The sequence below is a fragment of the Homo sapiens genome, chromosome 2 (genome assembly GCF_000001405.40).
Source record: "Homo sapiens chromosome 2, GRCh38.p14 Primary Assembly".
Taxonomy (NCBI): Eukaryota; Metazoa; Chordata; class Mammalia; order Primates; family Hominidae; genus Homo; species Homo sapiens.
This window is the reverse complement of record NC_000002.12, coordinates 97,977,637-98,003,165: the sequence shown is the minus strand read 5'-3', so window position 1 is coordinate 98,003,165 and position 25,529 is coordinate 97,977,637. Positions and strand designations below refer to the sequence as shown.

Sequence of the window (25,529 nt, the reverse complement as noted above, 5' to 3'; positions counted from 1 at the left end):
TATGACAGTGCATGGTAACCATTGTTAATGTATTGTATTATTGAAAATTGCAAAGAGAGTAGATTTTCAGTGTTCTCACCACAAATAAGAATGTATTAGAGGTAATGCATATGTTAATTAGCTCAATTTAGCCATTCCACAACATATACATATTTCAAAACATCATGTATACAATAAATATATACAATTATTGTTTGTTAATTTAAAAAATTAGTTTTAAAAACTTTAGGACTGAATACAGATGCTCACCGTAATGTAGACTAAAGGTGAAACAAAATTATTCCCCTTGAGATTTTGCACAGACTATTTCTTTGCTAACATTTTTAAGAATAATTCAAACACTTGTTAATTCATGGTCATAAAGACTTCTGACCAGCCATGGTGTGTGGTTTTAAAATATCAGATTTATTTTATTTATTTGTTTGTTTTATTTTTATTTTTTTGAGATGGAGTTTTGCTCTTGTCACCCAGGCTGGAGTGCAGTGGCACAATCTCAGCTCACTGCAACCTTTGTCTCCTGGGTTCAAGCGATTCTCCTGCCTCAGCCTCTCAAGTAGCTGGGATTACAGGCATGCACCACCACGCCCGGCTAATTTTGTAATTTTTTTTTAGTAGAGACGAGATTTCACTATGTTGGTCAGGCTGGTCTTGAACTCCTGACCTCAGGTGATCCACCCGCCTCGGCCTCCCAAAGTGTTGGGATTATAGGCGTGAGCCACTGCACCCAGCCTATCAGATTTAAAATACTAAATTTAACTTGTTAAAGTACCAGAAATTAAAGTAATAACATTTAAAGGAAGTAGAATTTACCTTCTGGAAAACACTGCACAGGTACGTGTGTGCGCTAGCTGTGATGCCTGCCCTCAGACCACCCTGCAGAGGCCATGCAAAATGGCCAATTCTCGATTCTTCATTTAGGGAACTCACACCAGACTTGGCAGAGAGAATTGTGTCTCTCCTACCTTATATTTGTCTCTGCAATTGTCATTATTTTACTGTTTTAATTTTTTCATTGTTTCTGGTATTTATCTGCATCTTGAATATGTTGATCTTTGCCTTTACTTACTATTGCTGGGAATTTTACAGTTACAAGCAATTAAATAATAGGGAGAGGGAGAAACACAAACATCCCTCAATACATTGTTCAATGGCCTTTTTTTCCCCTGAATGGCTTTCCATGGCTGTTAGTTTCCACCAAGCAATGCAATATTAAGTACAGTTGAATGACGGGTGAGGCAGGCTTCTTTAATAATGGTGTTTAGGAACATTCAGAAACTCAGGGCAGCCTAAAAATCAACTTTAAAGTACTCATCAGTACTAGAGAGGACAATGGTAAGGGGAGGTGGAAGGAACAAGAAAAATACTAGGGTATTATTTCCCTCCTTTTAATTGAAAGACTACCAAACCACATGACATTTTTCAAAAGTCACAAGATTAATAATTAAATGTTGCAGGAGAGAAAAAATCAGAGTGGCGCTGGAGCCTATTGTGGAGGAGTTGAAAGGGCAGGCCAAGATTTTGATTCATGTTAAACTTGGCTGTTTGTCCCAAAAAACATTTCTAAAGAATGCCAGAAAAATAAATATAAGCTTATAAACTGTGTCAGTCAGCTTGGAAGGAAAATATTGAACAAACCCATCATTAATTCTCACATCTAAATCCAGTATGTTTATTAGTAAAGGTATGTATGTGTTGTGGTAGTGGTCATTGATGAGATCTTAGTTCATGTAGATTTAGAAATTGCAAAGGAATCTAGTTTTCCTGAGGAATATATGAATAAGGATCTTCAAATATGGGATCCACACTGATACAGAGCTCGGCCCACATGCTCAGAAGCTACTACCCTCATCCTGCTGCATGAACTTGACTGAGGTCTATTTGCCCTACCCTAGGTTACCATAATTTACTACTAAGTTGAACAGACTTAAACCTTAGGCTTCGTGAGCTGACTTTTTTTAAGAATAACACCCAGGGAAACCTCCCAAGGAATAAGGGACACAGGAGACAAAATAAGCAGGTTACTCTTCATCCTGAATAAGACAGACAAGATGCCATATTCCTTCTTACTCGCTTGACTGCTGTGGGCTTCAGACTAGATGAAAGAGACAGAGAACTGAAAATAAAGAAAAATCAGTTAAAGAACTTGAAAAGGCTGGGTAAATAAAGAAATGAGTAGAACCCAGAGTTGCCTTCATTTAATACTCCTCCTCTTTCCTCCTTTGATTCATTTCTTCCTATTCTACCATATTTTGTATATGTCTCTTATTTACCAGATTTGAAGCTCCCTGGAGGAGAAGGACTATGTCTTCGTGATCTTTATCTTTTAGTTCTGTTCATTCATCCATTCATCTATCCATTCATGTAATAAGTGTTATTGAGTGCCCAATATGTGCCAATATTGTAGAAGCTCGGAATTCATCAGTGAGCAAAACGAATGGGGGGAAAGATTGGTAATAACAATACATTTAATGAGTAAGTAAAGTATATAGTATTATAGAAAGTGATAAGTGTTATGGGGGGAAAATGAGTGCAAGGTAAGGAGGATTGGGTCTTGAGGGTAGGTGTAATAAGCTGCAGTATTAACAGTGGTGATCAGGGTATGCTTCGCCAAGAAAATCATAACTGAGCCAAGACTGAGAGGAAGTATGACAGTGAGCCCAGCAGAGAACCAGGGAGAAGGGGGTGGGGAGAAAGCACTTCAGGTGGAGGGCTAGAGGATAGACCCTGGAGTAGAAGCATTCCTGATATGTTCCAGGAACAAAATGGTGGTCATTTCAGCTGAAACAGACCGAGCCTGGAGGAATCCAGGAGGAATGGAAAGACCGGGGCAAGCCAGATCAAGGAAGCTTTTACCCTGAGATGGGTATTCAAATATTCCCTGTTATTGCTTTTTTTAATATACAGTCTCTAAAAATTAAAATTTCACTTTCCCCAACTGCTTTTAAAAACATTAAGCAGGCCACTGCAGGATGTGAACATTGAGAGACGTGACATGTCTTATGTTTTAAATGGATCATGCTGGCTGTCAGGTTGACAATAGACTATAAAAGTACAAATTTATGTCAAAATATAAAGCAAAGCCCAACAAAACTCAAAAAAAAAAAAAAAATCAAAGATGAGTTTATATACTGCCAGGGGTGGATGTAAACACACCAGTGAAAAAGTTCACTGAGTAACTCATGAATTAGGAAAAGTCAGGGTTTTTTAAGTGTGAGAAAGAGAGAAGGGAGTTTGGAGGTTATGCGGATTAAGGGCTGGAAAGTAGTGCTCTGGATAGGTTGGAATAGTGTTGATAAAACATGTCCCTTTGTTAACTGGTCAGAAAGGAGTCTTTGGTTAGGTCTAACAAGGGTCTGGTATGGGGTCACTCAAAGTTCACAGTCCTTGATCTGCTTCAGTTGGTTAGAACCAGTTGTGGTAGAGCATAGCATTCCGTTTTGATATCTACTATGCAAGTGTTGTAAGTGGAAAATTTTCTTTTACAGGTGGAAACAGGGAAACCTGTTAGGAAGCTCTTGCAGAAATCCAGGCAGCGGATGACAGGGCTCATACCAGAGTGGAGTAGTGCAGGTGGTGAGAAGCAGTTAGATTTGGGTACATGTGGAGAGAGTAAAGAATGACTCCCAGGTTTTTGGCCTGTGCAACTGGATGGTTGGAGTTGCCCTGGAGATAGGAAAGGCTGTGGGTGAAGCATGTTTGCATGGGAAGATGTGGAGTTCATGTGAGTTTAAGACACCTCATTATACACCTGAGTGGGAACAGCAATAGAGACAGCGAGGTCTGGCTGGTGACATGAAGTGGGGACCTGAAAGTGTATAGATGGTGTTGAACGGCAGGATACCAGGTGCATTCACCTATGCAGCAAAGGAGATAGAACCCTGGAAAGCCCAACAGTTTACTCCCTCCTAGTTCCAGTTTTAATTCATAGAAGGCATTCTTGCACACCTCCTTAAGTATTTTGTGGAATGAAGTGGAGGTATCAATGGATCAAGGATCTTCGTGCCTAATGTGGTGTTTTGAAAAGAGTGAGTGCTCACTAATAGCTACTTTTGACAGTCTCCTATGTCCCAGACACTAGTCTATATGCTTCACAAACCTATATGCTTAATCTCCCCAAATTTATATCATAATCCCCATTTTTACAGATTAGGAATCTGAGGCCAGAAAAGTCATTTGCTCAGCATCATATAGCTAGTAAAGGCAGGGATGGGATTTAAGTTCAAATTTGTCTGAGTCTCTTATAATTCTGCCTTGAATGGTAAATTACTAACCTGCATAGAGAGCAAAATGAACAGAAAGTGAGGAGTCCCAACAGCTTGTAGCTCCTGGCATATATCACTGTGCAACAGTCTTCAATCTTGAGCCTGTATCAGAATCACTTGGATGCCTTGTTTAAACAGATTGTTGGACCTCAACCCAGAATTCCTGATTCCACAGGTCTGGGATTTGGCCTGCTAATTTGCACTTCTAACAGGTTCCCAGGTGTTGCTGCTACAGCTGGTCTGGGGATGACACCTTGAGAACCACTGGTTTAGCGAGTTTTCCCTGACTCTGCCAGCTAATACCTCCACCTGCCAAATGGCCAGGTCTCTCCAATTTCCAAAAGGGAAAAAGAGAAAAGTTCACAACTAATCAGAACTATTTGAGAGTCCTTAGTGTGATGGTTCCTTCAATTTTAACTCCTGGTTCTCTCCTGAGACACATGAGGGTTGGGGAGTGGGGGTAGAGGATCATAGGGTGATGGTGGCTCCACGCCAGGTTCTCTCTAACACACAGTTTACCATGCTGTCTAGCAAAACGTCTTTCACTGTTAGACTCTCAGTGGCCTCATTGTCCTTTCCTGGGAGGAAAGTTCCATCATCACCCCTCCTGCTCCTAGTGTCCCTCAGGCACAGGGGAGGGTTCAGGTATGGTGGGCCTTAAAAGCCTACCCAACTATTGGGAGGGCTCCTTTAAGAACAAGAATACAGGCTTATAAATACACAATTAGGTTCAGGGACTTGGAAGGAACTTGTGCAAGAGAGGGGGCCCTGCGGCTTAAGCTTCATTAGCTGCATGGGAAATCGAACTCTGATCAAACATGTCTGTATACGTCTAAAGATCCAATTACAGACAGGTGCAAGTTATTTCCCATGGAGCTGCTGAGCCTCAGGCTAACCAGGGGATGTGGCTGATTGCTGTGTAAGAGAACCTCAGCACTTCATGGTTGGAAAGGCTTGTTTGTCCTGAATCTGGCCATGGGGGAAGGGCTGCTGACTTGCAGAGCTAGCACGTTGGAGGCTAAGCAAAAGCGCTCAGTTACATATCCTTGGGTTTGATCTCTTCCGTGAGTCAAAAGCCTTCCAGAAATCTCTTGCCTCAGACATTTTAAACGCCAACTTAAGAGATAATTATTCCTATTTCATTACATCAAAATAAAATTTGACTACTCAATTTTAAGGCTAATATTCAAAAAAGTAAAATTGCTTATGATTAATTTTTTGAGACGGAGTTTTGCTCTTGTCGAGGGTATAGTGCAGTGGCGCTATCTTGGCTCACTGCAACCTCCACCTGCCGGGTTCAAGCGTTTTTCCTGCCTCCGGAGTAGCTGGGATTACAGGCATGCACTACCACGCCCGGCTAATTTTTATATTTTTTAGTAGAGACGGGTTTTCACCATGTTGGCCAGGCTGGTCTCGAACTCCTGACCTCAGGTGATCCGCCCACCTTGGCCTACCAAAGTGCTGGGATTACAGGCGTGAGCCACTGCGCCCTGCCCTAAAATTGCTTTTTAAAATCATTAGGCTAAGGTCATATTTAAATATATATTAATTTATGAATAAATTTAAGTGCTTGCTTGACACAGGGGACTACTTCATAGAGTAGATTCTGGAGTTCCTTTTGTCTTTCTGAAACCTTATTTTCCTATCTAGCTTGTTCTGAGACGTACTGTGGGCAGACTTGGCCTTACACATATATCGACTCACTCAACAAATACAGCTAAGGAAAGTAAAATGTCTCTGGGCTACAAGCTGGGAGGAAGTTACTAAGATGAGTAAAGAAGGACCCCCTCCAAGAGCTTAAATTAAGTCTTGGAGACAACAGCCATGCGCACCAAGAAGCTCAACCTAAGATGAAAAGGGCATCTAAGAGGCGCGAGATGGCTCGTGAAGGTAACAGACGTCTTAAGAATTTTTCCGGGCCCAGCACAGTGGCTCACGCCTGTGATCCCAGCACTCTGGAAGGCCGAGGAAGGCGGACTGCTTGAGCCCAGGAGTTCGAGACCTGCTCGGCCAACATAGTGAGACAGCGTTTCTTAAAAGAAAAAGAAAAATTGGCGTGGCGTGGTGGCGGGTGCCTGTAGTCCCAGACCGCACCACTGCACTCCAGCCTGGGCGGCAGAACCAGACCCTGTCTCAAAAATAAATAAATAATTAAAAAATAAAGAAAAGAAAAAAAAGAATTCTTCCTCGAGAGAGGAAGCCGGCTACTGGATATTCTAAAGAGCAGTCTGTTTGCCCCTGCCTTCTCCATCCAGAGTCACCGACGCTTTCTGCACACGAGGTGTTCCGCGCCAATGTGGGCACAAGCCAAGGCAAGAGGACTCCATCAAGCTCCTCCTGGGTACCATGATTTGGAAGACCCAAGGATGAGTTCAGCGGGCCACCATCCTCAAGGAAGCACCATCAAGAACTGAGTCAGGCCCGGGGTATTCTCGACGTCAAAGCGGTCGAGAGGTGGGGGTGCCACCAGGAAGAGTCACTGGAACGGACCTTCCGCGCTCGTCTCGCGGTCTGTATGCGCACTCACACCCCTGGAAGGCTCTACCACTGTAGGACAGAGCACGGAGGATTGCCCAGGCGCCGGAGAAGAGGTTAGCGCCCCGCAACTCCGCCCCTGCCCCGCCCACGCAACGCGGCGGCTGCGCGGCGAGGCCGCCCCGTCTCCACGTGATTGCCGACACCGCCTCCGCGAAGCAGAAGCCGCCATCATAAGTCCTGGCAGCTGGACCTGGGCCTGCCTCCCTCCTTCTCCTGCGCCAGGTAGCGGTAACGGGCTGGGGTTGTTCTGTCCTGGTTCTGTCTGGCCGTGAAGCCGCAGGCCTCCGAGAGCGGGACGAGGAGGTGGGGCCCAGGGGGCTCCGGGGCGGACAGACTGACCGCCGGACAGCCCAGGTGTCGGCACAGCGTGGGCGGTGCCCAGAGCCGCGCCCCGCCCCTCGCAGGCCAGCGCTCAGGGCTCGCGGGCCGTGCCCGTTTCCAGTATGGCCGCCCGCCGCGCCTGACCCGCGGCCTCTCCGCTCCGACTGCTTGTAGGCGATGCCCAGGCAAAGACCGTGACTGACACTCTCGCTCACACGCACGCACGGACCCAGGCCCACGCTCGGAGATCGAGCCCCGGGCTCGCAACCGTTGTCGCTCCCGGCGCCGCGGCCAGAGCCCGGACCACGGCTTCCGCGCCGCCGCCGCCTCGCCGAGAAGGGCCGCGCCGGACCTCGAGCGCGGCGGCCCCCGGCCGGCAGGGATGGGGAAGCGGGCGGGAGGAGGAGCAACCGGAGCCACCACCGCCGCCGTCTCCACGTCCGCCGGGGCCGGGCTGGAACCTGCGGCCGCCCGTAGCGGGGGCCCGCGGAGCGCGGCCGCCGGCCTCCTAGGCGCGCTGCACCTGGTGATGACCCTCGTAGTGGCTGCGGCGCGGGCCGAGAAGGAAGGTGGGTGTCCCCCGGCGGCGTCCCTGCGGCGGGGCTGTCACCCCGCTCTCGCGGAGGCCGGGAGGGCTGGGCCGGGAGGAAGGGCCGCGGCCGGGGCTCCGGCGCAAAGTTGGGCGGTCGGGTACCGTCCCGAGCCGGGACCTCGCGGCGCCCGCCGCACGGAGTGGCCTTCGCTCTCCGTGATTCCTTCCCGTGCCTTCCCCCGTCTCCTGTCACTGCCATTTCAAAACTTCCTGACTTCTCGTACGTTCTTGCCACTTGGCCCGCTAGGTAGGAGGGGCATATTTTTTGGCTTTATTGCGGCGAATAGGTACATTTTAGGACACTTCTGTTTTCTTGGTTGCGGTTGGTTGCATGCAGACAGAGCTTACTTTAAAATGTGGTAAAAATAGCGAGACACAGCTTAAAAAATTTCACTTTGAATTTGTTCAGACATTTCTTCGAGGGGAAATCTTGGTCCTGTAGCTTCCTCCTTTAGTGTCTCTGCGTTATTGATAACTTTATTATTAGACCTAAATACAATTCCATTTAACTCTTTAGTAAGCTGTTGAAAGCCTGTTTACATTTCTTATTTTAAAATACGTGATTCGGTGCCTTTATCTTTGATGTGAAAGCCTTTAAAAATAAACGTGAAGTTGCCAGCTTGCAAGCATTTATCTATAATTTACAGTTAAGGGCTGGCCCCTATTTTAAAAATCTCATTAGTATTGTACTGCTGCAAAACGGGTACTTGGACAGGGTCAAAAATTATTTTGTAATCTTGAAGACCAAATCAGTGTAATTTCATCTACACTACCTCTTTTTGAGCCAAGGGACATGTGAATGGTCACAGAGCCTTCATGAAGAATTGACTAAGTGAATAGTTTAAAAAAAAAACAAACCACGCAAAACTTGTTAGTTTAGCATTGCACATGAAACTGCCTGTACAAGAAAACAATTTCTTGCCACGGTAATTTTAGAGTTAACATTCTACTTTATGACTAAAGTCACTTGCTTTTTATTGTTGCTGAAGGTGAAAGCAAATACAAACCAAATTAGTATTAAAGTGCAAATGTGCTTCAGTATACTGTTTCTTTTATTTTTGTCCACATTACATTCCCTTATCTAACTCTCTAAGCAACCTTAGTCTGAGTTAACATTGGTGGAAATTATTCAAAGAATTGTCGTCTATAGAAAGGATTAATTGATGGAAGCAAAATTATTTCCAGAATAAAATATTGCCGCTTTAGGACTAGTCGGTCCTGGGGTTGTCATAATACATCATTGGCCACAGATCTGCAGTTAGTTGAGTGTTCTTTCTTATGTGTGATCGTGGCACCTAGCATTTTGGCCTGTAGTGGGTGTTCAGTGAACCCAAAATAGTGCAGTAATTTAATGGACATTTTTTGGGTGGGACTTCAAGTAGACCTTGGTGGGTATTGTGTCCTTGTTTTTCTGTTCCTTTGCTTACCTTGCACAGTGCCAGACACACTGGCGCTTAGCCTTTGAGTGAATGACTGTCTTCATGCGCCCTTAGCACAGGGAATTGAAATAATGGTTGAATCTAGTAAAGCATTAAGTTTGTATTTTCCTTCTACTGCTGCTGATTTTTCCAACAGCCATTTTATATGCTAATAAAAACTTTACTCTGGGTAAAGTTAAGTAAACAAACCTTTTGTTTGAGAACTGTCAGCCTAAAATATATTTGCTAATTTCTCATTTGCATAGTTTATACATGTTAGTGCACCTCTCTAATACCCATAAATGTGTGTAAGGATTGGATGAGGAGAATACTTGCCAGGGTGTTAAGTATGTATTAAAGGGGTGGTTGAATCAGCCAGTGGCCTGGGTGAATCAGATATCCTTTGTGGCCCATGCTTTTCTGTATGAACAATTTGTGTGTGCGGTTATCCAAGATATTAATGGAGATGATGCTGATATAGAACATAGGCCTCTACCCATCATAAACAGATCTGGTTCTAATCAAATATTCTGTGAAGGTATCTCCAGAAATGGCTTCTCCTTTAAAACTGATCATATTCCAGTATTGTTTCTGAGTAAGTAGGGGAAAAGCAATTTATTTTCTTACGTGATTGTGACACTGTGAGTCTGGCATCTGATGAGGCACAAATACAGTATTTGTCCTAAAAGGTACTGTTGAGTTTTTCAGCAAGTTTGGGCAGATTTCTGAAGATGGCTGAGTTCAGTTTGATCATTCACACCCGGAGGAATTTTGTGTCTATTGAAGTAGCATAAACTAGTTTAAAATTTCAAAGTTAAGATTTACCTGCAGTTTTAATGATGATTCTGCAGGTATTTTGTATGTTTGTATTTCTTTTCCTTCATTACTGTATAATTTCACTGCAAAATCTTTAAAAGACAATAAAACTCATTGTCTCCTGAAGAAAAGCTGCAGAAATAAATTACCTAATGTAGTTTTTCATGTTTGGACTTGATGTTGATTTTCTTGAGTCAGAAGCATGGACCATTCCTTGTCTTAACATCCTATATGACTTAACTGAGCTATGGGAGTGTGCTATCACTAGTCCAGAGGAAAGGTACCTTTGAGATGGTTTTGGCTGTGATGTAAAGTTTGTAAGGACTTTGAAAGAGTTTCCAGAGATAGAAGTTGTTATAATCACTACAAATAACTAGTTCTAGATTGGTGGCAAGATTTTGTCTTGAGGCTAACATCTAGATACTGAGAATAGCAAAAATGTGTGTGAGTTGTGAAAATATATTTTTAAAATATATAGTGAAAATACATGTGTATGTGTATATATTAAATGTATACTTTTAGTAGTCTTTTGAATTATAAAGCAGCCCATTATGACTGGCAAATAAGACCTTTTTTAAAAAAGCATTATATATCATGTAATATAATTTCATTGTGAAGTGGGTTTTTGGAAGGCATTTATTATAAATGAGAAGCTATAGTTTATGTATCTAGTAAATATAAATTCGAATAAGTTTTCAAGAATGTTTCAATTTATGACAATTTAAATTTCATTGTCACATGTTTTATTAATTGGCAATTAAATGGCAGGGTAACGTTTGACAGCCTTTATTAGGACTTTAAAAATTTTTTGCCAGTGTACTATAGTTTCATGCACAAATTTTTGTTTTAAGCTGTATTTGTGACATAGGTGCAAAACACAGTACAAAAGTATTTACAAAGCATATGAGAAAAGTGCATAGGACTAAAGACCACAAGAAAACAGATAAGAATCTAATAGTTTTCTAAGGGTAGCCAAATTGACTAGGAGTGTTATTTACTTTTTCTTAACCAAACTATTTTTAACCTACTTATTACTCGATAATGTTAAAATGTTTTTGAAAGTGATTTTCTTAAGAGTGAGATGTGTTAACCCTTTGTATGGGGTAGAGTGGGTACCTTTTAATTTAGGGCCTTGTAAATAGAATGTTATTTAATAAGTGCTTCACTAATGAACGTTTGTAGCCTGCTTTTACTAAAGGCTGTTGCCTGATGGAGCATTGGAGTTTTGTAGTTGGAAAAAGTGTGTCCTTTTTTCCTCTTGCTAATGACCATTTTCCTCCTCCTTCTAATTCTTACAGTGGACCCTCATAGACATCTGCCAACAAGATTGCTTTGGGAGTAGATGTAAACTCATCTAATTGTTACTATCCAGAGTAGCAATAAGCCAAATTACTCTTGGAGGAAAATAAAATCTTTGCTAGGTGCTTGATATTTTAGGTGTTCTCTCTCTTGCCTATATGTGACTCAAGCGCTCTGATTGGCCTTGCCAGACCAAGAGGCCCTTTTCCTACAGCTGAATTTTCCCCTACGGTCTCTTGTAAGCAGCATCTGGCATTGTTTCGGTGACTCTGTACTTCTCGGTTCTGGTTGTGCCCTAGCTGACAGTTGCTGCTCTCCAATTGCCTGTTGGTTGTCTTCCTCCCTGTGTGTGTCTAGCTGCTGGTGCACACTGCATGTGTCCAGGGCAGAATTATCTTGCGCCACCTCCAGTTTTCAGTTTTTTATTAATGCTATGATTATTCTGCCTGCCCCACTGGATTCAGTTTTGACCCTTCACCAAGTGGCATCAGTGCCTGTTACATCCTCTTTTGATCACTCTCCCACTGCCTTCACCATGGGGCACTGCAGCAGCCTCTCTCCTACCGCCTTTCGCCATTTCTGTTCAGTCCTGCATGCTCCCTCTGAATTTGTGGTCTTTGTTAATCATTCATCATTCATTTTGACACCTAATTGTGTACTGCCTTGTTAGCTACTTAAATGATTTCAGGGGTGTCATTCTTCACCTAGGCTGGAATTTCTGTAGGGCAGAACCTTTGTCAACATCTGTAGTACATAAATAGCAGGCATTCAGTTTTGATTGAAAGTTTGCCTAAACTTTCATTGTAATATAATTTCATTGTGAAGTGGGTTTTTGGAAGGCATTTAATTTATTATAAATGAGAAGCTATAGTTTATGTATCTAGTAAATATAAATTCGAATAAATTTTCAAGAGTGTTTCAACCTATGACAATTTAAATTTCATAGTCACATGTTCTATCAATTGGCAATTAAATGGCAGAGTAACGTTTGACAGCCTTTATTAGGACTTTTAAAATTTTTTGCCAGTGTACTATAGTTTCATGCACAAATTTTTGTTTTAAGCTGTATTTGTGACGTAGGTGCAAAACACAGTACAAAACTATTTACAAAGCATATGAAAAAAGTGCATAGGACTTTTTATACCTGAGAACCTGAGAGTCAGAAGTACAGGTAAAATTCAGTTCTGGTGCAGATGTCATGAGGAAGTCTGCTATAGTAGGACATTGAGTAACACCAGTTTTTTCTTCCCCACATGTTGCTTTTCCTTGTAACTAAAAGGAGTTGTATACACTTATCTAAACCATCACTTTTATAACTTTTTGATTTTAAGATTTTCAGATTCTCATAAAACCCTAATCTAGAGATCATGAAACTGAGGCTTAGAGAGGTTAAGTAATATACCCAGCGTGATAGGGCTGGTAAATAGTGGAGCCAGGATTCCGCCCTAAGACATCTGTCCCTTGAGCCAAACTATGTAACCCCAAATGAGCACTTCAGGAATTAGATTTTGTTATATTGTACCAACTGCAAAAAGAACAGACTTGACAGTTCATGCAAAACCCATGTATTAGTATTCAAGTAAAATGTACTTTTTTTTTTTTTCAATCAGCCACAAGCTTTCATATCACTTTCTGTTGACTTGTTAACAGTTTAAGTAATCACAGGCCATTCTGGATCATGAAGGTTCTTAAAAGGAAACCAGTGAGTGGATAATACAGGGAAATGAATATTTGGTATTCGAAGCTACTGTCTCTTTGTTCTTGATGACTTAGATACCTGGTTGTATTGCTAAGGTTAAGCAATATTGCCTTCTGTAGATACTGCTTAGCTCCAGATTGGTGTGATGAGTTAGTCTAGACTTGTGGAATATTCTCAGAAGCTGGCCCTGGACTAACAGGAGCTGGAGATAATGCAAGGGCTGGTAGTGGCATTTGCCTCGGCAGGCAGAAATCTCTCGCAGACTTCCATTAGAGGTCCAAGGGCTCCAGAAGAAGTTCAAAGGTGCTTTGTTCTTATTAGGGCATTTTGGAATTAGGTGGTCATTAGTTCTCATCTGTAGTTCCAAATCTGTTTTGTTGTTGTTGTTTTTTAATTCCCATGTGATTACTTTTAAAACCACAGATGGAGGGTTTCTAGAAAGCCTTTGCCATTTGCCTGATTGATTTTGTTGCATACAACTCTGCCGTTTTAGGGCAGAGGTTTGATGTTTAAGAGGATCTTTTAGATGGTCAGTCATGATAGAGTATGAAACCTACGTTTTTATTTATTTTCATTTATTTATTTTCTAGAAACTTGGTGAAAAAAACACATAACAAAATACTTAACCATTTTTATATGTACAGTTCAGTGGTGTTAAGTGTATTCACGTTGTTGTGTAGCAGATCTTCAGAACTTCTTCATGTAAAGCTGGAAGTCTATACCCATTAAACAACTTCCTATTTCTCTCCCTACCCTTAATCCCCACCCCCAGGCTCCTGGTAACCACCATTCTACTTTCTGTGTTTATGAATTTGACTACTTTAGATACTTCATATAAGTAGAATAATGCAGGATTTGTGACCTGCTTATTTTACTTAGCATAATATCTGTAAGGTTAATCCATGTTGTAGGATGTGACAGTTCCTTCCTTTTTTTTTTTTTTGTTTTGTTTTTTGAAATGATGTTTTGAGAATTTATTTACAACCATTGAACACGGATGATTTTGTAAAACTGACAATTACAGGCTCCTTAAACTCACAACATACATATATTTCAATATTTAAATAGCCTGTTTTCTTCAAAAGTAATTTTCTGCTTTTTCATAAAAATATAAAAAAGACAACATTTATAGTTCCTTCCTTTTTAAGGTTGAATTATATTCCATTGTATGGATATACCACATTTTGTTTATCCATTCATCCATCCGTGGACACTAGGCTTGCTCCTACCTCTTGGCTCTTGTGACTAATGCTGTGAAGTTGAGTATGCAAATATCTCTTCAAGACCCTGGTTTCAACTATTTTGCATATCTACCCAGAAGAGAGATTTCTGGATCATGTGATAGTTCTATATTTAATTCCTTAAGCAACCACCACATTTCCATAGTGGTTGCATAATCTCAGAATCCCGTGAATAATGCACAAGGATTCCAATTTCTCCATGCCCTTGCCAACAGTTGTTTTTGTTTTGTTTTGTTTTGATAGTGGTGTGAGGTGCTATCTCATTGTGGTATTGATTTGCATTTTTCTAATGATTAATGATATTGAGCGTCTTTTCATATCCTTCTTGGGCATTTGTATATCTCCTTTGGAGAAATGTCTATTCACGTCCTTTGCCCACGTTATATTCAGGTTTTGTTGTTGTTGTTGAGTTATAGGAGTTCCTTATATATTCTGGATATTACCCCTTATCAGATGATTTGCAACTATGTTCTCCCATTTGGCAGGTTGCCTTTTCACTCTGTTGATCATATTCTTTGAACAAAAGTTTTTGTTTGATATAGTTACTTTTGCTTTTGGTGTCATATCCAAGATATCATTGCCAAATCCAATGTCATGAACTTTTTCCCTATGCTTTCTCCTAGGCATTTTATAGTTTTGGGTCTTATGTTTCGGTCTTTAACCCATTTTGAGTTAACTTTTATTTATGGTGTAAGATAAAGGGTATAACTCTATTCTTTTGCATGTGGATATCCAGTTTCTCCAGTTCCATTTGTTGAAGAGGCTGTCCTTTCTTCACTGAGTAGTCTTTGTGTCCTTGTATGAAAATTAATTGGCTATATATGCAAGGGTTTATTTCTGGACACTTTATTCTGTTTAACTGCTCTGTGTGTCTGTCTTTATGCCAGTACCAGACTATTTTGAATACTATAGCTTTGTAATATGTTTTGAAATAAGGAAATGTGAGACCTCTAACTGTCTTCTTCCTTTTCAAGATTATTTTGGCTATTTGGGGTCCCTTGAGATTCTGTATGAATTTTAGGATGCACTTTTCTACTTGCCTTGGGATTTTGGGATTTTGATAGTGATTGTGTTGAACCTATAGATCACATTGGGTAGTATTGATATCTTAACAGTATTTTAACCCATAAACTTGGGATGTCTTTCCATTTATTTGTGTCTAATTTTTTCAGCAGTGTTTTGTAGTTTTCAGTGTACAAATCTTTCACTTCCTTGGTTAGGTTTATTCCTAAGTATTTTATTCTTTTTGATGTCATTGTAAATAAAACATGCATTTTTGAACTAATGATTTTAATCAGTGTATCATTAATAGTTGTAAATACATAGTTTTTAGTAAACACTCCATATTTGAAACAAGAAAAAATGCTGCGTACTTAAGGTATTTCGTTAATTACCTGCCTATAAAATGAAAGACATTTAAGCCCTCGTTAGTTCTAACAGTTTGTGACTTTTTTTTGTTTTTGTTTTTTTGTTTTTTTGAGACAGAGACTCACTCTGTTGCCAGGCTGGAGTACAGTGGTGCGATCTCAGCTTACTGCAGCCTCTGTCTCCCGGGTTCAAGCGATTCTCCTGCCTCAGCCTCCTGAGTAGCTGGGACTACAGGTGTGTGCCACCACGCTCAGCTAATTTTTGTATTTTTAGTAGATGAGGTTTCACGGCCAGGATGGTCTCGATCTCTTGACCTCATGATCCACCTGACTTGGCCTCCCAAAGTGCTGGGATTACAGGCATGAGCCACTGTGCCTGGCCAATTTGTGACTATTTTTTAAATCAGTTATAATGATTGCAAAGTGATATGGCAGTTTGGTTCTTGAAAGCTGATTTTTTCTGTATAGTTCTAGTATTACATTTGGATCAAAGGATGTGCTAGTTAAAAACTGTCTTGGCAGTGAAGTTTGAGAAATAGCATAGCCAACTTTATGGATTCAGGTTAATTAGTGGTTTGTATTCATGGTATGGCAAGGGCCCTACATGGATTTTCTTTTTAGAGCATGATTAAACTGGGAGCAGAAGATTTTCTAGGCAATTATTCATGGTACAAAGGTGCTCTGTGAAACCTAACTGTATTTATAAAGATCTTTGAGATAGTTTATGTTTGTCATTCCAAAAGTTATTAGGTAGAGCAGTGTACAAGAGAGGGTAGTGTGCTTTCAAACCTTTGGGCGAAATTGGACCACCTTTAGAAATGCTTCTATGGATTGGTGACATGGGCTCATCTGAAGTATTGCTTCTTGATTAGCAAATGGGAAATGAAGTAGTGGTCAGCACTACCAAGAGGTAATGTCTCTTTCAGAATGGGTGCAGCAGTGGTTATGTTTCAGATATAGGGGAGTTCTTAGGTATTTAGGGGTCCACCTCATTATTCTGGGTGGCTTCTGTTGAGTTATGGCTGGGCATGAAAATAGGTTACTGAGAATTGTTTTGAAGAGAGATGTAGGAAGGAAAAAACAGGCAAGGAATTAGGTCCAGTTTTATTGGAATCCTAGAAATTCTTGTTTAAATTGATTGTAAGAATAAAACAGATTATAAAATGCAGATTAATAAATGGTGAAAAACTGTAACCAGTCAAGAACTAACATGAGTCATCCATGTTTTGGTCTCTGTTCCTTCCTCATCTCTCTTCCCTCTCCTCACTCTTTTCCTGCCCCTATTCCCCATTTAAAAAAATAGATACTGCCAATAGTTTTCTTCAAAGGCAATCAATTCACATCTCAACCATACTGTATGCATGTGCTTACTTCCCCACACTGGCTGTTACTCTTTTCTTACCAGTCTACCAATAAAGTTGTCACGTTGTTTTAATTTATTTTAAAACAATTACTACTAAGACTGAATACTTTTATACATTTGCGACCATTTGTATTTGTGTTTGATCAGTCTTTTGTCAGTTTTCCCATTGATGTTTGAATTTTTCTTTTTGACTTAGTCTTTTGACTTTAAGGATTTAATATTTTTCTGAGTTTCTATTTGCATTTGAATTTTTTATTTTCTATTATTTTTATACCTGTCAGGCAACTCTCTTTTTTTTTTTTAAATGGTTTCTGCCTTTCTGATACCTTAACACCCCTAAAGATTATATATTCACCAATATTTTATGTCCGTGCTTCCATCTTTAAATGCAAATCTCTATTTCTTCAGTCCGTTGGCATCAGGTAGAGAATCTGTTTGTCCTCAAATCATTAGTCAGTTGCCTTAACACCACTTATTGAATTATATACAGTATTTCCTTTCATTCAAATTCTGTTATGTACTGGGATCTATTTCTTGATTTTTTTTTTCCCAGGGTATTTTTTTTTCTCATGTATATGTCTATGCATTTGTACATTTCTGTTTTAACTTTATTTTAGGTAATATAGCTTATTTATACATTTCATTAGCTGGCTTGGCAGGTCATCCCCTCTCCCTAAATGATTATTCTTCAAAAAGCAGTTTCTTATCTATCTTGTTTTTATTCCCTATGAATCCTCAAATCATTTTGTAAAGAAAATTTAAAGTTGCTATTTGCTTTTTGGTTACAATTACATTAAAACGTTAGATAAATTTGGAATTTGACATCTTTATAGGGTTTTCCATTTTGTTTGTCTTTCTCCTAAGTCTGTGTGTGTGTGTGTATATATATATATGTATTAAGTAAAACTGTATGAAATTATAATTTTTGTCAGTCCAACATAATTAACAACTTATTCAATCTAATATTAATATGTATGTTTTTATGCATTATTGCTTTGGCTAGAGCTTCAGAACATTGTTAAATAAGAGTGATGAAAAAGCAGGCATCCTTATGTTTTTCTGTTTTTTTAAGAGAAAAATACCTTAAGTGTTTCATTGTGTAGTATGATTGGGGTAGTTGGTTGAAGTTAGATGTTCTTAATAATAGGAAATTTCTTATATTTTTAAAGAGTTTTAGTTTTAAGAGTTATTAGGGACAGCTACTACATTTTATCCCATGGAGTTATTTTATGACCTTTTTACCTTAAGCTGTAGGAGCAGTCCTCTTAGCTGCACTGAACTCTCTTGGTGAATTTATACCCATGTCTGTTTTCCCTCTAGTAAACTCGTCCAGGGATACCCATTGGACTTGGGCTGCCTGCAGCTGCCAGGCTATACTCACACACTTCCACATTTGCTCCATTTAGTTAATGTGCATATTTTTATATTGTGGTTTTGTTTTTAACTAAAACTCTTTTTAAAAAGCTATTATATCGATATGATCCCTCATGAGTATTGATGTATCAATATATAGTAATTATTATAGTAATATATCATTATATATAATATATATTAATAATCCCTCATGAATAGATTAATGCCCTCCCCAGGGGGATGGGGAACTAAGTTCTCACATTTAATTTCCAAGAGAGTTCACCTGAGACCTGGTATTAAAATGAGCCTGTCACCACCCCCCTTGCCGCCATGTGATCTGCACACTCCTTTGCCTTCTAGGAGTGGAAGCAGCCTGAGGCCCTCAGCAGAAGCAGATGTTGGTACCACACTTCCTGTACAGCCTGCAGAACCATGAGTCAAGTAAACCTCTTTTCTTTATAAATTACCCAGCCTCCAGTACTCCTTTAAAGCAACTCAAATGGACTGAGACATCAGTTTGCTGTCAATTAATTTGATATTTAAAAAAAAAATACCAAGAAAACTTCTTATGGAATTAGGAAAGTTGCTGTTAAATTTTCTATGAAAAAATGAAAATGTAGAAATACTGGGAAAATTCTGGAAAAGTTATGAGGAATGACTAGCACAAGCAGTTATTAAAACTTGCTCTTAAACTATTATGTAATTGGTATAATTAGAATAAGTACTGGTATATAAATAGACAAATTAATGGAATAGAATAGAAATTCTAGTAATAGACCTAAGTATATATGGTTTATGTTAACCTACTTTTCTTCTGGGAGTCTGGAACTTTGGTATGTGTTAGGCAGAGGGGTACCGTGTGGCTAGCCCCAAGTAAAAACCTTGGGACTCTGTGTTAGTTTCCTATTGTGCCTGTAGCTAATTATCACAAGTTGAGTGGGTTAAAACACAAGTCTATTCTCTTATCATTCCAAAGGGCAGAAGTCTAAAGTCAGGGTGTGTGGCTGACTGCCACAGTTATGGTTTGAGACAATCATTACAGCAGTTAACTCCTGTTATTGCTTGAGACTGTCATTACTGCAGTTACTACTGGAGACCATCATTACAAGACTGAACGAAGGGACGAACATAGAAATGAAAAAAGACAAAAGAAACTGTTTTAAGGAAAGGCAACATGGGGAGAAGAGGAGAGCTCCCTGCTTCTAGTGATCAAAGGCAGCCCCCTTGAGCTTCTACAGTCCTTTCGTATTTATTGGGTAAAGAGCAAGGAGGAGGAGGTAACCATTGGTCAGCTGCTTAATTGATCACAGGTTCATGTTGTTACTGACAGGCTTCAGTTATGCCTAATCATGAGAAACATTTGTGCAGCCTCCATCTCCTTTTTGTTTTTAAATTAATTGAGCAAGACAATTGCAGATTATGCAGCCCTTAGTGGCGCCTAGACAGGAACTTGAAGGGACTATCAGGGACAAAAAGGGACCTGAAGAGAACTGAAGAGACCCGAAGAGACCTGAAAAACTAGTTCAGGCCATGATGGGAAGAGGGGGTCGGACATGTCTCATTATACCCTCCTCCCTTTGGAATTCAGGCACCACTTGTAGCTGACTGTCACTGCTACTACTTGAGACTGTCACTACAGCAGTTTCTACTGTTACTGTCTGAGACCGTCATTATGAGACTGAACGAAGGCACAAACGTAGAAATGATAACAAAAAACAAAAGTAATTTTTAAGGAAAGGCTAGCATGGGGAAGAAGAAGAGAGAAGAAAAGAATGAAAGGGCTCCCTGCTTCTAGTGAGCAAAGGCAACCCCTGAGCTTCTACAGCCCTTTTGTATTTATTGGGTAACAAGAGCATGGAGGAGGAGGTAACGATTGGTTGGCTGCTTAATTGATCACAGGTTCATATTATTACTAACAGGCTTCAGTTGTACCTAATTACAAGAAACATTTGTGTGGCCTCCAACAAGGGTGTTGGGGCTGTGCTCTTTCTGTAGGCTTCAGGGGAGAATCTTTTTCTGTCTTTTTTAGCTTCTAGAGGCTTCCTGAATTCCTTGGTTCATGGCCTCTGACATCACCCTTTTCCTAATCCAAACATCTTGCATATCACATTCTGTTCCTCTGAGTGTGATTATTAATATATTTGGCCCATCTGACTAATCTGGGATAATCTCCCCATCTCAAAATCCTTAATTTAATCACATCTACAAAATTCCTTTTGCCATGTAAGGTAACATTCACAGCTTCCTGGGATTAGGACATGGACATTTTGGGGAGTCATTATTCAGCCTACCACAGACATTGAGTTTCTAATGAGCTTTCTTGATAGATGTGACACCAAAAGCACAAACAACAAAAGGGGAGAAAATAGATAAAGTAGACATCAAAATTTGAAAGTTTTGTGCTTTAAAAAGCCCTATAAAGAAAGCAGAAAACCCACAGAATGGAAGAAAAATTTTCGCAAATCATGTATCTGATAAAGGGATATGTATCTAGAATGTATAAAGAACTCATAACCTCAGTTACAACAGACAGTGCAATTAAAAAATGGGCAGGGGATCTGAATAGGCATTTCTCCTAATAAAGATATATAATAAACGTATGAAAAGATGCTCTACATCATTAGCTATCAGAGAAATACAAATGAAAACCAAAATGAGATTCCATTTCACACCCACCAATATGGCTACGATCAAACAGATGGATAATAAATGTTGGCAAGGGTGCGGAGACATTGGAATGTCTTGTTGCTTTATGGGTAACATAAGATGGTGCAGCTGCTTTGGAAAACAGTTTGGTAGGTCCTGAAAATACGGAGTTACTGTATGACCCACAGTTATGCTCCTTAGTATATACTCCAAAGAAACGAAAACACAAAAACTTGCACATAAAAACTTGTGCAGGAACATTCATAGCAGCATTATTTATAGTAGCCAAAAAGTGGAAACAACTGAAATGTTTGAAGAATAGATCAAATGGAATATTATTCAGCCATAGAAATGAGTGAAGTATTATTATGAATGCTTGTTACAACACAGGTGAACCTTGAAAACATTGTGATAAGTGAACAAAGCCACTCACAAAAGACCATATAAGACCATAGAAGCCATTTATATGAAATGTCCAGAATAGGCAAATCCACAGAGACAAAATAGATAACATGGTTGTCTAGAACTATGGAGAGCAGTGTAGGGAGTGACTGATGATGGGTACAAGGGTTTTTCTTTGGGATGGTGGTTGAACAACTCTGAATACACTGAAAACTATGCATTATATACTTAAAATGGGAGCTGTTATTAAACAAGTTTTATTAAAAATTGATAGGCTTTTCATCTAAGGGGGAAAAAACCTAAATGAGATACCATTTCTCACTTATTTGGGTGGCAAAGTTCTAAAAGCTTCACAACACTTTCGATGAGACTGCAGGAAAGCACGTGTTCTCACACCTTGTTAGTTGGAATGCAAAAAAGATACAACCTTAATGGAAAGAAGTTTGGCACAGTGTCTAACAAAATTACATATATGTTACGGTTTTCACCTAGCAATCTCATTTTTAGGAATTGGCTGTTTTAACAATACAAATACATATATATAAGGTTATTCATAGCATGATGATTTGTGAATGAAAACTATTGGAAATGACCTAAATGCCCCTATATAGTTGAATAAATTGTTACATCCACATAATGGATCATTATGCACCTTAAAAAAGAATGAGGAAAACCTCTAGAATATGCTTTTTAGTGATTTCCAAAGTATATTGATAAATGAAAGCAGCAAGGTTATAAAGAGTGTATGTGTGTGGATAGCTACCTTAACAGATTTTTAAACTTTTTTTTTTTTTTTTTTTTTTTTTTTTTTTTTTTTTTTGGTGTGTAGTTCTGTGAGTTTCAGCACATGTATAGATTTGAATAACCACTACCATAGTCAGGATACAGAACATTTTCATTACCCTCCAAAACCTGTGCTATCTCCATATAGTCCACTTCTGACTCTTGTCAACCACTGATCTGTTATGTGTCACTGTAATTTTCTCTTTTTGAGAATGTCATATAAATGAAATTAGTGTGTATAATTTGAGATTGTATGGTTTTAAGACTGGTTTATTTTACTCAGCACAAGACACTTGAGATTCTTCCAACTTGTGTGTCTTGATAGTTAGTCTCTAATGTTGAGTAGTATTCTGTTGTATGAATATACCATGATTTATTTGTTCATCTGTTGAAATTTTGGGTTGTTTGCAGTTTGGGGCTGTTATAAATAAAGCCGCTTTGAACATTCATGTGTAAGTCTTTGTATGCACATGTATTTTATTTTCTCTCAGGTAAGTACATATGAGTGGAATGTCTGGATCCTATGGTAGCTGTATGTTTAAGAAACTGCTAACCTGTTTTCCAAAGCGGCTGTACCATTTTATATTCCCATAAGAAGTGTATGAGAGTTCCATTTCCTCCATATGCTTGCCAGTGCTTGGTATGGTCAGTCCTTTAATTTTAGCCATCTTAACAGGTGTGTAGTGGTACAGGCATTTCTCATTTTATTGCACTTTGCCTCCTTCACAGCCAATATGCTGTTTACAAATGGAAGGTTTGTGGCAATCCTGCCTGACACAAATCTATTAGCACCATTTTTCCAATAGCATATGCTCACTTCTATTTTTATGTCACATTTTGGTAAGTCTCACAATATTTCAGGCTTTTTCAGTATTAAATCTGTAATGGTAATCTGCAATCAGTGATCTTTGATGTGATTGTGTAATTGTTTTGGGATGCCCACAAACCACACCCATATGACACTGCAGGCTTAACTGATAAATGCCTGTGTTCTGACTGCTCCAACTGGCTGTTCCCCCACTTCTCGCCCCTCCTCAGGCTGTCGTTTTCTCTGAGACAACAATATTGAAATTAGGACAATTAGTAGTACTAAATAGCATCTAAGTGTTCAAGTGAAAGGAAGAGTCACACCTCTCCCTTATAAATCAAAAGCTAGATATGATTAAGCTTAGCGAGGAGAGCATGTCAAAGCTGAGAAAGGCCAAAAGCTAGGCCTCTCGTACCAAACAGCCAAGTTGTGAATGCAAAGGAGAAGTTCTTTAAGGAAGTTAAAAGTGCTACTCTGGTGAACAAATGAATGATAAGAAAGCAAAACAGCCTTATTGCTGATAGGAGTAAGCTTTAGTGTTCAGGATAGAAGATCAGACCAGCCACAAGCATTCTATTAGGTCAGAGTTTAATCCAGAGCAAGGCCCCTCTCTTCTCTTCAGTTCTATGAAGACTGAGAGAGGGGAAGAAGCTGCAGAAGAACAGTTGGCAGCCAGGAGAGGTTGGTTCATGAGGCTTAAGGAAAGAAGACAGTTTCATCACATAAAGTGCAAGGTGAAGTGGTTAAGTGCCGATGTACAAGTTGCAGCAAGTTTTCCAGAAGATCTGGCTAAGATCATTGATAAACGTGGCCACGCTAAACAACAGATTTTCCATGTAGATGAAACAGCCTTCTTTTGGAAGATGCCATCTTGGTCTCTCATAGCTAGAGAGGAGAAGTCAGTGCCTAGCGTCAAAGCTTCGAAGGACAGGCTGACTCTCTTGTTAGGAACTAATGAAGCTGGTAACTTTAAGTTGAAGCCAATGCTCATCTGTCATGCTGAAAAAATTCTAGGGACCTTAAGAATTATGCTAAATCTACTCTGCCTGTGCTTTATAACTGGAACAAGAAAGCCTGAATGACAGCACATCTGTTTATAATGTGGTTTACTGAATATTTTAAGCCCACTGTTGAGACCTACTGCTCGGAAAAAATATTACTTTCCAAATATTACTGCTTGTTAAAAAGGCAACTGGTCACCCAGGAGCACTGATGGAGATGTACAAGGAGCTGCATGTTGTTTTCGTGCCTGCTAACACAGCATCCATTCTGCAGCCAAGGATCAAGAAGTAATTTCAAGTTTCATGTCTTATTTTAAAAATACATTTTTTAAGGCTATAGCTGCCACAGAGACTGAGTCCTCAGTTGGATCTGGGCAAAGTCCATTGAAAACCTCCTGGAAAGGATTTGCCATTCTAGATGCCATTAAGAATATTTGTGATTCATAGGAGGAGGTCAGAATATCAACAAGAGTTTGGAAGAAGTTGCTTCCAACCTTCATGGATGACTTTGAGGAGTTCAAGATGTCAGTAGAGGAAGTGACTGCAGATACAGTGGAAATAGCAAGAGAACTAGGATTAGAAGTGAAGCTTGGGCTGGGTATGGTAGCCCTTTCAGAGGCCTAGGCGGGAGGAATATGGAGCCCAGGAGTTCAAGGACCTCCTGAGCACTGTGGCAAAACCCTGTCTCTACAAAAACTACAAAAATTAGCTAGGTGTGGTGGCTCTCACCTGTTGTCCCAGCTACTCAGGAGGCTGTGGTGGGAGGATTGTTAGAGCCCAGGAAGTCAAGGCTGCAGTAAGCACTCCAGCCTGGGCAACAGAGTGGCTGGCATCCTGAAGATGTAACTGAATTGCTGCAGTGTTACGATAAAACTTGAACAAATGAAGAGTTGCTTCTTATAGATGAAGTGATTTCTTGAGATGAAATCTGCTCCTGGTGAAGATGCTGTGAACATTGTTGAAATGGCAGCAAAGGATTCAGGGTATTATCAACTTAGTCGATAAAGTAGTAGCAGGGTTAGAGAAGATTGACTCCAGTTTTGAAATAAGTTCTTCTGTGGGTAAAATGCTGTCAAACAGCATTGCATGCTACAGAGAAATCTTTCATGAAATGGCAGCAAACTTCATTGCTGTTTTTTATTATTATTATTTATTATTATTTTTTTCCCCAAGACCGAGTCTTGCTCTGTCACCCAGGCTGGAGTGCAGTGGCGCAGTCTCGGCTCACTGCAACCTCCACCTCCCGGGTTCAAGCAGTTCTTCTGCCATGACCTCCCGAGTAGCTGGGATTGCAGGCGCCCCCCACCACACCTGGCTAATTTTTGTATTTTTAATAGAGACGGGGGTTTCACTATGTTGGCCAGGTTGGTCTCGAACTCCTGACCTCATGATCCGCCTGCCTCTGCCTCCCAAAGTGCTGGGATTATAGGCATGAGCCACCACGCCTGGCCCATTGCTGTTTCAAGAAATTGCCACAGCCACCCCACCCTTCAGCAACCATTATCCTGATCCTGATCAACCTTGAGGCAAGACTCTCCACTAGCCAAAAGATTATGACTTGCTGAAGGTTCAGATAATTGTTAGGATTTTTTAGCAATAAAGTATTTTTAAGTTAAGATA

General features: G+C 40.1%; 1 protein-coding gene and 1 long non-coding RNA gene across 8 annotated transcripts in view, besides 6 other annotated features; one reads left to right on the top strand and one right to left on the bottom strand.

Annotated features, from left to right (window-relative positions):
- Positions 1-1,224: 1,224 nt before the first annotated feature.
- Positions 1,225-5,523, bottom strand: LOC124905591 (uncharacterized). The gene is made up of 2 exons (XR_007087148.1): positions 4,272-5,523; positions 1,225-2,113 (listed from the first exon to the last, which is right to left on the bottom strand). It is a non-coding gene; the product is annotated as an uncharacterized LOC124905591 (long non-coding RNA).
- Positions 6,509-6,788: an enhancer, noted in NCBI's record as "active region_16251". NCBI's record gives its function as "activates an Ori minimal core promoter by ATAC-STARR-seq in GM12878 lymphoblastoid cells {active_cell/tissue: GM12878}" and the evidence as "EXISTENCE:reporter gene assay evidence [ECO:0000049][PMID:35858748]".
- Positions 6,959-7,472: an enhancer, noted in NCBI's record as "H3K27ac hESC enhancer chr2:98612157-98612670 (GRCh37/hg19 assembly coordinates)". NCBI's record gives its function as "activates a minimal SCP1, AML or CMV promoter by ChIP-STARR-seq in primed H9 embryonic stem cells {active_cell/tissue: H9 hESC(primed)}" and the evidence as "EXISTENCE:reporter gene assay evidence [ECO:0000049][PMID:30033119]".
- Positions 6,959-7,928: a biological region, named in NCBI's record as "H3K27ac hESC enhancer GRCh37_chr2:98612157-98612670".
- Positions 7,009-7,258: a silencer, noted in NCBI's record as "silent region_11796". NCBI's record gives its function as "represses an Ori minimal core promoter by ATAC-STARR-seq in GM12878 lymphoblastoid cells {active_cell/tissue: GM12878}" and the evidence as "EXISTENCE:reporter gene assay evidence [ECO:0000049][PMID:35858748]".
- Positions 7,218-25,529, top strand: part of TMEM131 (transmembrane protein 131) — a 239,613-nt gene continuing 221,301 nt past the window's right edge. For 6 of the 7 annotated variants that reach the window (XM_047443844.1, XM_047443843.1, NM_015348.2 and 3 more), the window contains exon 1: positions 7,218-7,690. In XM_047443844.1, the coding sequence (XP_047299800.1) occupies positions 7,504-7,690 (187 nt within the window). In that variant the 5' untranslated portion in view covers positions 7,218-7,503. Of the gene's footprint in view, positions 7,961-25,529 lie in introns of all 7 variants that reach the window. The other variant, XM_047443842.1, reaches the window with a different exon arrangement.
- Positions 7,369-7,928: a silencer, noted in NCBI's record as "silent region_11795". NCBI's record gives its function as "represses an Ori minimal core promoter by ATAC-STARR-seq in GM12878 lymphoblastoid cells {active_cell/tissue: GM12878}" and the evidence as "EXISTENCE:reporter gene assay evidence [ECO:0000049][PMID:35858748]".
- Positions 9,105-9,184: an enhancer, noted in NCBI's record as "active region_16250". NCBI's record gives its function as "activates an Ori minimal core promoter by ATAC-STARR-seq in GM12878 lymphoblastoid cells {active_cell/tissue: GM12878}" and the evidence as "EXISTENCE:reporter gene assay evidence [ECO:0000049][PMID:35858748]".